A 14,938-nucleotide genomic window follows, 5' to 3' on the forward strand; every position below is an offset into this window, starting at 1 on the left:
AAGGAAAAAATGGTAAGGGCAGCCAGAGAGAAAGGTTGGGTTACCCACAAAGGGAAGCCCATCAGACTAACAGCAGAAACTCTACAAGTCAGAAGAGAGTGGGGGCCAATATTCAACATTCTTAAAGAAAAGAATTTTTACCAGGGCAATTAGGCAGGAGAAGGAAATAAAGGGTATTCAATTAGGAAAAGAGGAAGTTAAATTGTCCCTGTTTGCAGATGACATGATTGTATATCTAGAAAACCCCATTGTCTCAGCCCAAAATCTCCTTAAGCTGATAAGCAACTTCAGCAAAGTCTCAGGATACAAAATCAGTGTGCAAAAATCACAAGCATTCTTATACACCAATAACAGACAAACAGAGAGCCAAATCATGAGTGAACTCCCATTCACAATTGCTTCAAAGAGAATAAAATACCTAGGAATCCACCTTACAAGGGACGTGAAGGACCTCTTCAAGGAGAACTACAAACCACTGCTCAAGGAAATAAAAGAGGATACAAACAAATGGAAGAACATTCCATGGTCATGGATAGGAAGAATCAATATCGTGAAAATGGCCATACTGCCCAAGGTAATTTATAGATTCAATGCCATCCCCATCAAGCTGCCAATGACTTTCCTCAAAGAATTGGAAAAAACTACTTTAAAGTTCATATGGAACCAAAAAAGAGGCCGCATCGCCAAGTCAATCCTAAGCCAAAAGAACAAAGCTGGAGGCATCGTGCTACCTGACTTCAAACTATACTACAAGGCTACAGTAACCAAAACAGCATGGTACTGGTACCAAAACAGAGATATAGATCAATGGAACAGAACAGAGCCCTCAGAAATAACGCCGCATATCTACAACTATCTGATCTTTGACAAACCTGAGAAAAATGAGAAATGGGGAAAGGATTCCCTATTTAATAAATGGTGCTGAGAAAACTGGCTAGCCATATGTAGAAAGTTGAAACTGGATCCCTTCCTTACACCTTATACAAAAATTAATTCAAGATGGATTAAAGACTTAAACATTAGGCCTAAAACCATAAAAACCCTAGAAGAAAACCTAGGCATTACCATTCAGGACATAGGCATGGGCAAAGACTTCATGTCTAAAACACCAAAAGCAATGGCAACAAAAGCCAAAATTGACAAATGGGATCTAATTAAACTCAAGAGCTTCTGCACAGCAAAACAAACTACCATCAGAGTGAACAGGCAACCCACAAAATGGGAGAAAATTTTCACAGCCTGCTCATCTGACAAAGGGCTAATATCCAGAACCTACAATGAACTCGAACAAATGTACAAGAAAAAAACAAACAACCCCATCAAAAGGTGGGCAAAGGACATGAACAGACACTTGTCAACAGAAGACATTTATGCGGCCAAAAAACATATGAAAAAATGCTCACCATCACTGGCCATCACAGAAATGCAAATCAAAACCACAATGAGATATCATCTCACACCAGTTAGAATGGCAGTCATTAAAAAGTCAGGAAACAACAGGTGCTGGAGAGGATGTGGAGAAATAGGAACACTTTTACACTGTTGGTGGGACTGTAAACTAGTTCAACCATTGTGGAAGACAGTGTGGCAATTCCTCAGGGATCTAGAACTACAAATACCATTTGACCCAGCCATCCCATTACTGGGTAAATATCCAAAGGACTATAAATCATGCTGCTATAAAGACACATGCACACGTATGTTTATTGCAGCACTATTCACAATAGCAAAGACTTGGAACCAACCCAAATGTCCAACAATGATAGACTGGATTAAGAAAATGTGGTACATATACACCATGGAATACTATGCAGCCATAAAAAATGATGAGTTCATGTCCTTTGTAGGGACATGGATGAAATTGGAAATCATCATTCTCAGTAAACTATCGCAAGAACAAAAAAACAAACACCGCATATTCTCACTCATAGGTGGGAACTGAACAATGGAAACACATGGACACAGGAGGGGGAACATCACACTCTGGGGACTGTTGTGGCATGGGGAGAGGGGGGAGAGATAGCATTGGGAGATATACCTAATGCTAGATGACGAGTTAGTGGGTGCAGCGCACCAGCATGGCACATGTATACCTATGTAACTAACCTGCACATTGTGCACATGTACCCTAAAACTTAAAGTATAATAATAAAAAAATAAAAAAATAAAAAATAAAAAAAGAACAAAAAAAAAAAAAGAAAAGAAAAGAATTTTCAACCCAGAATTTCATATCCAGCCAAACTAAGCTTCATAAGTGAAGGAGAAATAAAATACTTTACAGACAAGCAAATGCTGAGAGATTTTGTCACCAACAGGCCTGCCCTAAAACAGCTCCTGAAGGAAGCACTAAACATGGAAAGGAACAACTGGTACCAGCTACTGCAAAAACATGCCAAATTCTAAAGACCATCGAGGCTAGGAAGAAACTGCGTCAACTAATGAGCAAAATAACCAGCTAACATCATAATGATAGGATCAAATTCACACATAACAATATTAACCTTAAATGTAAATGGGCTAAATGCTCCAATTAAAAGACACAGACTGGCAAACTGGATAAAGAGTCAAGACCCATCAGTGTGCTGCATTCAGGAAACCCATTTCACGTGCACAGACACACATAGGATCAAAATAAAGGGATAGAGGAAGATCTACCAAGCAAATGGAAAACAAAAAAGGCAGGTGTTGCAATCCTAGTCTCTGATAAAACAGACTTTAAACCAACAAAGATCAAAAAAGACAAAGAAGGCCATTACATAATGGTAAAGGGATCAATTCAACAAGAAGAACTAACTATCCCAAATATTGGGTGCACCCAATACAGGAGCACCCAGATTCATAAAGCAAGTCCTTAGAGACCTACAAAGAGACTTAGATTGCCACACAATAATAATGGGAGACTTTAACACCCCACTGTCAACATTAGACAGATCAACGAGACAGAAAGTTAACAAGGATATCCAGGAACTGAACTCAGCTCTGCACCAAGCGGACCTAATAGACACAACTTTCCACCCCAAATCAACAGAATATACATTCTTCTCAGCACCACACTGCACTTATTCCAAAATTTACCACATAGTTGGAAGTAAAGCACTCCTCAGCAAATGTAAAAGAACAGAAATTATAACAAACTGTCTCTCAGACCACGGTGCAATCAAACTAGAACTCAGGATTAAGAAACTCACTCAAAACCACTCAACTACATGGAAACTGAACAACCCGCTCCTGAATGACTACTGGGTACATAATGAAATGAAGGCAGAAACAAAGATGTTCTTTGAAACCAACGAGAACAAAGACACAACATACCAGAATCTCTGGGACACATTCAAGGCAGTGTGTGGAGGGAAATTTATAGCACTAAATGCCCACAAGAGAAAGCAGGAAAGATCTAAAATTGACACCCTAACATCACAATTAAAAGAGCTAGAAAAGCAAGAGCAAACACATACAAAAGCTAGCAGAAGGCAAGAAATAACTAAGATCAGAGCAGAACTGAAGGAAATAGAGACACAAAAAACCCTTCAAAAAATTAATGAATCCAGGAGCTGGTTTTTTGAAAAGATCAACAAAATTGATAGACCGCTAGCAAGACTAATAAGGAAGAAAAGAGAGAAGAATCAAATAGACGCAATAAAAAATGATAAAGGGGATATCACCACCGATCCCACAGAAATACAAACTACCATCAGAGAATACTATAAACACCTCTACACAAATAAACTAGAAAATCTAGAAGAAATGGATAAATTCCTCTACGCATATATCCTCCCAAGACTAAACCAGGAAGAAGTTGAATCTCTGAACAGACCAATAACGGGGTCTGAAATTGAGGCAATAATCAATAGCTTACCAACCAAAAACACTCCAGGACCAGATGGATTCACAGCCGAATTCTACCAGAGGTACAAACAGGAGCTGGTACCATTCCTTCTGAAACTATTCCAATCAATAGAAAAAGAGGGAATCCTCCCTAACTCATTTTATGAGGCCAGCATCATCCTGATACCAAAGCCTGGCAGAGACACAACCAAAAAGAGAATTTTAGACCAATATCCTTGATGAACATTGATGCAAAAATCCTCAATAAAATACTGGCAAACCAAATCCAGCAGCACATCAAAAAGCTTATCCACCATGATCAAGTGGGCTTCATCCCTGGGATGCAAGGCTGGTTCAACATACGCAAATCAATAAATGTAATCCAGCATATAAACAGAACCAAAGACAAAAACCACATGATAATCTCAATAGATGCAGAAAAGGCCTTTGACAAAATTCAACAACGCTTCATGCTAAAAACTCTCAATAAATTAGGTATTGATGGGACATATCTCAAAATAATAAGAGCTATCTATGACAAACCCACAGCCAATATCATAATGAATGGGCAAAAACTGGAAGCATTGCCTTTGAAAATGGGCACAAGACAGGGATGCCCTCTCTCACTACTCCTATTCAACATAGTGTTGAAAGTTCAGGCCAGGGCAATCAGGCAGGAGAAAGAAATAAAGGGTATTCAATTAGGAAAAGAGGAAGTTAAATTGTCCCTGTTTGCAGATGACATGATTGTATATCTAGAAAACCCCACTATCTCAGCCCAAAATCTCCTTAAGCTGATAAGCAACTTCAGCAAAGTCTCAGGATACAAAATCAATGTGCAAAAATCACAAGCATTCTTATACACCAATAACAGACAAACAGAGAGCCAAATCATGAGTGAACTCCCATTCACAATTGCTTCAAAGAGAATAAAATACCTAGGAATCCAACTTACAAGGGATGTGAAAGACCTCCTCAAGGAGAACTACAAACTACTGCTCAATGAAATAAAAGAGGATACAAACAAATGGAAGAACATTCCATGCTCATGGATAGGAAGAATCAATACCATGAAAATGGCCATACTGCCCAAGGTAATTTATAGATTCAATGCCATCCCCATCAAGCTGCCAATGACTTTCTTCACAGAATTGGAAAAAACTACCTTAAAGTTCATATGGAACCAAAAAAGAGCCCGCATCAGCAAGTCAGTCCTAAGCCAAAAGAACAAAGCTGGAGGCATCACACTACCTGACTTCACACTATACTACAAGGCTACGGTAACCAAAACAGCATGGTACTGGTACCAAAACAGAGATATAGATCAATGGAACAGACCAGAGCCCTCAGAAATAATGCCATATATCTACAACTATCTGATCTTTGACAAACCTGAGAAAAATGAGAAATGGGGAAAGGATTCCCTATTTAATAAATGGTGCTGGGAAAACTGGCTAGCCATATGTAGAAAGCTGAAACTGGATCCCTTCCTTACACCTTATACAAAAATCAATTCAAGATGGATTAAAGACTTACATGTTAGACCTAAAACCATAAAAACCCTAGAAGAAAACTTAGGCAATACCATTCAGGACATAGGCATGGGCAAGGACTTCATGTCTAAAACACCAAAAGCAATGGCAACAAAAGCCAAAATTGACAAATGGGATCTAATTAAACTAAAGAGTTTCTGCACAGCAAAAGAAACTACCATCAGAGTGAACAGGCAACCTACAGAATGGGAGAAAATTTTTGCACCTACTCATCTGACAAAGGGCTAATATCCAGAATCTACAATGAATTCAAACAAATTTACAAGAAAAAAACAAACAACCCCATCAAAAAGTGGGCGAAGGATATGAACATGAACAGACATTTCTCAAAAGAAGACATTTATGCAGCCAAAAAACACATGAAAAAATGCTCATCATCACTGGCCATCAGAGAAATGCAAATCAAAACCACAATGAGATACCATCTCACACCAGTTAGAATGGTGATCATTAAAAAGTCAGGAAACAACAGGTGCTGGAGAGGATGTGGAGAAATAGGAACACTTTTACACTGTTGGTGGGACTGTAAACTACTTCAACCATTGTGGAAGTCAGTGTGGCGATTCCTCAGGGATCTAGAACTAGAAATACCATTTGACCCAGCCATCCCATTACTGGGTATATACCCAAAGGATTACAAATCATGCTGCTATAAAGACACATGCACACATATGTTTATAGCAGCACTATTCACGATAGCCAAGACTTGGAACCAACCTAAATATCCAACAACGATAGACTGGATTAAGAAAATTTGGCACATATACACCATGGAATACCATGCAGCCATAAAAAATGATGAGTTCATGTCCTTTGTAGTGACATGGTTGAAGCTGGAAACCATCATTCTCAGCAAACTATGGCAAGGACAAAAAACCAAACACCACATGTTCTCACTCATAGTTGGGAATTGAACAATGAGAACACATGGACACAGGAAGGGGAACATCACACACCGGGGACTGTTGTGGGGTGGGGGGGAGGGGGGAGGGATAGCATTAGGAGATATACCTAATGCTAAATGACGAGTTAATGGGTGCAGCACACCAACATGGCACATATATACATATGTAACAAACCTGCACGCTGTGCACATATACCCTAAAACTTAAAGTATAATAATAATAAAACTTAAAAAAAGACTCCATGAAAAAAACTGTTAGAGCTGACAATAAATTCAGTAAAGCTTCAGAGTACTGAATCAACATGCAAAAATCAGTAACTTTATATATGTCAAAAGCAAAAAATCTGAAAAAGAAATTAAGAAACCATCCCCATTTATAATGTCTACAAAGAATACAAAATACCTAGAAATCAATTGAACCAAGGAAGTGAAAGATTTATACAAAGAAAACCATAAGACACTGATGAAAGAAATTGAAGAGGACACAAAAAAATAGAAAGATATTCCATGTTCATGGATTGGAAGAAATAATATCATTAAAATGACAATACTGCACCAAGCAATTTACAGATTCAATGCAACCACTATCGAAATACCAATGACATTCTTCACAGAAATAGAAAAAACAATTCAAAAATTTACATGGAAACACAAAGGCCCCAAATAGCCAAAGACGTCCTGAGGAAAAACAACAAAGCTGGAAGCATCCCACTTCCTGACTTCAAAATTTACTACAAAGCTATAGTAACAAAATCAGCATGGTCCTAGCATAAACAGGGACACAGACCAGTGGAACAGCATAGAGAACCCACATGTAAATTTATGCATTTACAGCCAGCTCATCTTCAACAAAGGTACTAAGAACATACAGTGGGGAAAGGACAGTCTCTTCAATAAATGATGCTGGGACAATGGGATAACTATATGCACATGAATGAAACTGAGGGAGTGGGGCGGAGCTGAGATGGCTAACTAGAAACAGCTACAGTGGGAGGCTTCCACCAAGAAGAACCAAAACAGCATGCGAATCCTGCATCATTAACCAAGGTATCCATGTTCTATCATCAGGACTGACTAGGTGTTTGGTTTGACCCACGGAGAGCAAAGAAAAGCAGAGTGGTGCCTCAGCCCACCTGACAGCCACATGGGACAAAGGCAGCCCCCACCTGCAGCCAAGGGAGACGGTGAGCAGTCGTGCTACCCAGCCTGGGAAACCACGCTTTTTCCATGGATCTGTGCAACCTGCAGATCAGGAGATCCCACTCATGAGCCCATGCCACCATCAGGGCCTTGGGTCCCAACCACAGAGCTGTGCAGATTCTCAATAGCCATTCAGCTGCAGTCTGCCTAAGACAACTGAGCTCCACGGGGAAGGGACAGCAGTCATCATGCAGCTGCCTAAAATGACTAAACTCTGGGGAAGTGGTGGGGGCAGGAGCCAGCGGGAGAAGGGCAGCAGCTATCACTGCAGCTGCAGAGCACCATTTTTCCCCTGCTGGTGCTGGGGAAACTGGATGGCTTGGACCCAAGAGGTATTCCCCACAGTACAGCACACCACCTGTGGCAGATCACAGCCAGATTGCCTCTTTAGGCCAGACCCTGACACATCCCTCCTCACTGGGCAGGACCTCCCTGCAGGAACTTCAGCAACTCTAGCCAGGGGCTTAGAGACAGAACTGTGATCTCCCTGGGCCTGAGCCCCTAGTGGGTGGGGTGGCCATGGTCTCCATGGACCAGCAGACTTAGTCTTTCCTTCCGCTAGCTCTGAGGAATATGAGCAGACCAGACGAGTGGGTTTCCCCCCAGTGCAGCACACCCCCTCCACCAAGGGGCAGCCAGCGTGCTTTATTAAGTGGGTCCTGGATCCCATGCCCCCCAACAGGGGTCACCGGACACCTTATACAGGAGCATTCCTCTTGGCATCATGTCAGTGACCCTTTAGGACAGAGATTCCAGAGGAAGGAGCAGGCTCCCATCTTTGCTGTTCTCCAGCCTCCTTAGGTAACATCTCCAGGTGCGAGAGGGACCCAGGTGAATAGGGCCTGAAGTGAAACCCCAGCAAACCACAGCAGCCCTACAGAAGAGGGGCCTGTTAAAAGAAAAACAAACAGAAAGCAGCAACAGCATCAACAAAAAGGTCTTCACAAAAACCCATCCAAAGGTCAGCAGCCTCAAAGATCGAAACTAGACAACTCATGAAGATGAGAAAGAATCAACGAAAAAACGCTAAAAACTTAAAAAGCCAGAGTGCCTCTTCTCCTCCAAATGATCACAACACCTCTCCAGCAAGGGGACAGAACTGGGCAGAGGCTGAGATGGATGAATTGACAGAAGTAGGCTTCAGAAGGTGGGTAATAACAAACTTCACTGAACCAAAGGAGCATGTCCTAACCTAACGCAAAGAAGCTAAGAACCATGATAAAAGGTTACAGGAGCTGTTAACTAGAATAACCAGTTTAGAGAGGAACAATATGACCTGATGAAGCTGAAAAACATAGCACGAGAACTTTGTGATACAAGTATCGATAGCTGAATCAATGAAGCGGAAGAAAGAATATCAGAGCTTGAAGACTTTCTTGCTGAAACAGAGCAGGAAGACAAGATTATGGAAAAGAGAATGAAAAGGAACAAATAAAACCTCTGAGAACTATGGGACTACATAAAAAGATCGAACCTATGATTTATTGGAGTACCTGAAAGAGACAGAAAGAATGGAACCAAGTTGGAAAACACACTTCAGGGTATCATCCAGGAGAACTTCTCCAACTTAGCAAAACAGGCCAACATTCGAATTCAGGAAATACAGAGAACCCCAGCAAGATACTCCATGAGAAGATCACCCCAAGAAACATAACCATCAGATTCTCCAAGGTCAAAATGAAGGAAAAAATGTTAAGGGCAGCCAGAGAAAAAGGCCAGGTCACCTACAAAAGGAATCCCATCAGACTAACAGCAGACCTCTCAGCAGAAGCCCTACAAGCCAGTAGAGAGTGTGGGCCAATATTCAACATTCTTAAAGAAAAGAATTTCCAACCCAGAATTTCATATCCAGCCAAGCTAAGTTTCTAAGCAAAGGAGAAATAAAATATTTTTCAAACAAGCAAACGTTGAGGGAATTTGTCACTGCCAGGCCTACCTTGCAAGAGCTCCTGAAAAAAGTGCTAAATATGGAAAGGAAAAACCAGTACCAGCCACTGCAAAAACACACTGAAGTGCAAAAACCAATGACATTTTGAAGAAACTGCATCAACTAGTCTGCAAAATAAGCAGCTAGCATCATTATTACACGATCAAATTCACACATAACAATTTTAACCTTAAATGTAAATAGGCTAAATGTCCCAATTAAAACACACAGACTGGCAAATTGAATAGAGTCAAGATGAATTGGTGTGCTGTCTTCAAGAGACCCATCTCATGTGCAAAGACACACATAATTGTCTTTGCACATGACATGTCTTTGCACATGTCTTTGCACATAATTTGTCAAGCTCAAAATAAAGGGATGGAGGAATATTTAACAAGCAAATGGAAAGTGAAACAAAAGCAGGGGTTGCAATCCTACTTTCTGACAAAACAGACTTTAAACCAACAAAGATCAAAAAAGACAAGGGCAGTACTTAATGGTAAAGGGATTAATTCAGTGAGAAGAACTAACAATTCTAAATATATATGCACCCTATTTATGCATATATTTATGAACACAGATTCATAAAACAAGTTCCTAGAGACCTACAAAGAGACTAAGACTACCACACAATAATAGTGGGAGACTTTAACACCCCACCGTCAATATTACACAGATCATCGAGACAGAATATTAACAAGGATATTCAAAACTTGAACTCAGCTCTGGATCAAGTGGACCTGATGGATATCTACAGAACTCTCCATCCAAAGAAAATAGAATATACATTCTTCTCAGTGCCACATGGCACATACTCTAAAATTGATCACATAATTGGAAGTAAAACACTCCTCAGCAAATGCAAAAGAACTGAAATCATAACAAACAGTCTCTCAGACCATAGTGCAATCAAATTAGAACCCAAGATTAAGAAAGTGACTCAAAACCACACAACTACATGGAAATTGAACAACCTGCTCCGAATGACTCCTAGGTAAATAATGAAATTAAGAGAGACATCAAGAAGCTATTTGAAACCAATGAGAAAAAAAGAGACAATGTACCAGAATTTCTGGGATGCAGCTAAAGCAGTGTTAAAAGGGAAATTTATAGCACTAAATACCCACATCAGAAAGCAAGAAAGATCTTGAATTGACACCCTAACATCACAACTAAAAGATATAGAGAGGCAGGAGCAAACAAAGCCAAAGGCTAGCAAAAGACAAGAAATAACTAAGATCAGAGTGGAACTGAAGGAGACAGAGACATGAAAAACCCTTCAAAAAAAATCAGTGAATCCAGGAGCTGGTTTTTTGAAAAAAATTAATAAAATAGATAGACCGTGGGCAACCCGCTTGGGTCCCCTTCCATGCTGTGGAAGCTTTGTTCTTTCACTCTTCACAATAAATTTGCTGCTGCTCACTCTTTCAGTCTGCACCACCTTTTAAGAGCTGTAACACTCGCCGTGAAGGTCCGCGGGCTCATTTTGAAGTCAGCGAGACTATGAACCCGCCAGAAGGAAGAAACTCTGGACACATCTGAAGGAATAAACTCCAGACACACCATCTTTAAGAGCTGTAACAGTTACCACGAAGGTCCGTGGCTTCATTCTTGAAGTCAGTGAGACCAAGAACCCACTGGAAGGAACCAACTCTGGACACAGCAGGACGTGAGACTTCTAGTGCTCACTCAGAATCATTTCTGCACCAACCATGGCCATCTTTGTGGAGCTCAATACCAAAGCCAAGATGCCCATTGTGGGCCTGGGCACTTGGAAGTCTCCTCTCGGCAAAGTGAAAGAAGTGGTGAAGGTGGCCATTGATGCAGGATATCGCCACATTGACTGTGCCTATGTCTATCAGAATGAACATGAGGTGGGGGAAGCCATCCAAGAGAAGATCCAAGAGAAGGCTGTAAAGCGGGAGGACCTCTTCATCATCAACAAGTTGTGGCCCACTTTCTTTGAGAGACCCCTTGTGAGGAAAGCCTTTGAGAAGACCCTCAAGGATCTGAAGCTGAGTTATCTGGATGTCTATCTTATTCACTAGCACAGGGATACAAGTCTGGGGATGATTTTTTCCGCAAAGATGATAAAGGTAATATGATCGGTGGAAAAGCAATGTTCTTGGATGCCTGGGAGGCCATGGAGGAGCTGGTGGATGAGGGGCTGGTGAAAGCCCTTGGGGTCTCCAATTTCAACCACTTCCAGATAGAGAGGCTCTTGAACAAACCTGGACTGAAATATAAACCAGTGACTAACCAGGTTGAGTGTCACCCATACCTCACACAGGAGAAACTGATCCAGTACTGCCACTCCAAGGGCATCACCATTATGGCCTACAGCCCCCTAGGCTCTCCGGATAGACTTTGGGCCAAGCCAGAGGACCCTTCCCTGCTGGAGGATCCCAAGATTAAGGAGATTGCTGCAAGGCACAAAAAACCACAGCCCAGGTTCTGATCCATTTCCATATCCAGAGGAATGTGACTGTGATCCCCAAGTCTGTGACACCAGCACGCATTGTTGAGAACATTCAGGCCTTTGACTTTACATTGAATGATGAGGAGATGGCAACCACACTCAGCTTCAACAGAAACTGGAGGGCCCGTAACATGTTGCAATCCTCTCATTTGGAGGACTATCCCTTCGATGCAGAATATTGAGGTTGAATCTCCTGGTGAGATTACACAGGGAATTCTCTTTCTTCGCTGAAGTGTGACATCTCCACTCAAGTCCTATTTTAGCCAAGCTTATCTGAGATCACAGTGACTTCGTCCTGTTGCAGGCCAGAATCAAGGTGCTGTTTTAGACATTTATTTCTGTATGTTCAACTAGGATCAGAGTATCACAGAAAAGCATGGCTTGAATAAGCAAATGACAGTTTTTTCCACTTATCTGAACAAATGTCTGTCTGTCAAGCACCAGAAACTCTGCCAACACTGAGGATGTAAAGATAAATAATAAAAAATAATGATCGTAAAAAAAAAATAGACCGCTAACTAGACTAATGAAGAAGAAGACAGAGAAGAATCAAATAGACACAATAAAAACTGATGAAGGAGATATCATCAATGACCCCACAGAAATACAACCAACCATCAGAGAATACTATAAACACCTCTACGCAAATAAACTAGAAAATCTAGAAGAAATTGATAAATTCCAGGACACATACATCATCTCAAGACTAAACCAAGAAAAATTCGAATCCCTGAATAGACTAATAACAAGTTCTGAAATTGGGGCAGTAATAAATAGCTACCAACCAAAAAAAAAAAAAAAAGCCCAGGACCAGATAGATTTACAGCCAATTCAACCAGAGGTTCAAAGAGGAGTGGGTACCATTCTTTCTGTAATTATTCCAAACAACTGAAAAGGAGGGACTTTTCTCTAACTCATTTTATGAGGCCAGCATCATCCTGATACCAAAACCTGGCACAGACACAACAAAAAAAGAAAACTTCGGGCCGATATCCCTGATGAACATTGATGCAAAAGTCCTCAATAAAATACTGGCAAACCAAATCCAGCAGCACATCAAAAAGGTTATCCACTATGATCAAGTCAGCTTTATCCCTGGAATTCAAGGCTGGTTCAACATACACAAATCAATAAATGTAATTCATCACATAAACAGAACTAAAGACAAAAGCCACACAATTATCTCAACAGACGCAGAAAAGGCCGTTGATAAAATTTAACATCCCTTCATGTTAACAACTCTCAATAAACTAGGAATTGATGGAACACATCTCAAAATATTAAGAGCCATTCCTGACAAACCCACAGTCAATATCATACTAAATGGGCAAAAGCTGGAAGCATTCCCCTTGAAACCTGGCACAAAACAAGGATGGCCCTCTCTCTTTCTCACCACTCCTATTCAACATAGTATGGAAGTTCTGGCCAGGGCAATCAGGCAAGAGAAGGAAATAAAAGGCATTCAAATAGGAAGAGAGGAAGTTAAACTGTCTCTGCAGACAACATAATCCTATATTTAGAAAATCCCATTGTCTCAGCCCAAAAGCTCCTTAAGCTGATAAGCAGCTTCAACAAAGTCTCAGGATACAAAATCAATGTGCAAAAATCACAAGCATTCCTATACACCAACAATAGACAAACAGACAGCCAAATCATGAATGAACTCCCATTCACAACTGCTACAAATAAAATACTTAGGAATACAGCTAAAAAGGGATGTGAAGGACCTCTTCAAGGAGAACTACAAACCACTGCTCAACGAAATAAGAGAGGACACAAACAAATGGAAAAACATTCCATGGTCATGGATAGGGAGAATCAATATCGTGAAAATGGCCATACTACCCAAAGTAATTTACAGATTTAATGCTATTCCCATTAAACTACCATTGCCGTTTTTCAAAAAATTAGAAAAAACTACTTTAAAATTCTTATGGAACCAAAAAAGACCCCATATAGCCAAGACAATCCTAAGCAAAAAGAACAAAGCTGGAGGCATCATGTTACCCAACTTCAAACTATACTGCAAGGCAATAGTAACCAAAACAGCATGGAACCGGTACCAAAACAGACACATAGACCAATGGAACAGAATAGAGATCTCAGAAATAAGGCCACACATCTACAATCATCTGACATTTAACAAACCTGATAAAAACAAGCAATGGGGAAAGGATTCCCTATTTAATAAATGGTGCTGGGAAAACTGGCTAGCCACATGCAGAAAATTGAAACTGGGCCCTTTCTTTATAATTCATACAAAAATTAACTAAAGATGGATTAAAGACTTAAATGTAAAACCAAAAACTATAAAAACCCTAGAAAAAAATCTAGGCAACACCATTCAGGACATAAACAAAGATTTCATGACAAAACATCAAAAGCAATTGCAACAAAAGCAAAAATTGACAAATAGGACCTAATTAAATGAAAGAGCTTCTGCACAGCAAAAGAAACTATCATCACAGTGAACAGACAACCTATGGAATGGGAGAATATGTTTGCAATCTATCCCTCTGACGAAGGTCTAATATCCAGAATCTACAAGGAACTTAAACAAATTTACAAGAAAACAACAAAAAACCCCATCAAAAAGTAGGCAAAGGACGTGAACAGACACTTCTCAAAAGAAGACATTTACGTGGCCAAGAAACTTATGAAAAAAAGCTCAACATTACTGATCATTAGAGAAATGCAAATCAAAACCACAATGAGATACCATCTCATGAGTCAGAATGGCGATTATTATAAAGTCAAGAAACAACAGATGCTGGCAAGGCTGTGGAGGAATAGGAACACTTTTACACTGTTGGTGAGAATGTAAATTAGTTCAACAATTGTGGAAGACAGTGTGGTGATTCCTCAGGGATCTAAAACCAGAAATACCATTTAACCCAGCAATCCCATTACTGGGTATATACCCAAAGGAATATAAATCATTCTATTATAAAGATACATGCACACATATGTTTATTGCAGCACTATTCACAATAGCAAAGACATGGAATCAACCCAACTGTCCATCAGTGATGGACTGGATAAAGAAAATG

At 40.3% G+C, this 14,938-nt stretch overlaps 1 protein-coding gene and 1 pseudogene across 1 annotated transcript in view; one reads left to right on the forward strand and one right to left on the reverse strand.

The window, feature by feature from the left end:
* CTNNA3 (catenin alpha 3) overlaps positions 1 to 14,938 on the reverse strand; it is a 1,851,072-nt gene that overhangs the window by 1,826,640 nt on the left and 9,494 nt on the right. The gene's annotated exons all lie outside the window — the stretch shown is intronic.
* Positions 11,067 to 12,267, forward strand: AKR1B10P1 (aldo-keto reductase family 1 member B10 pseudogene 1; annotated as a pseudogene).

This window comes from Homo sapiens, chromosome 10 (assembly GCF_000001405.40).
Source record: "Homo sapiens chromosome 10, GRCh38.p14 Primary Assembly".
NCBI lineage: Eukaryota > Metazoa > Chordata > Mammalia > Primates > Hominidae > Homo > Homo sapiens.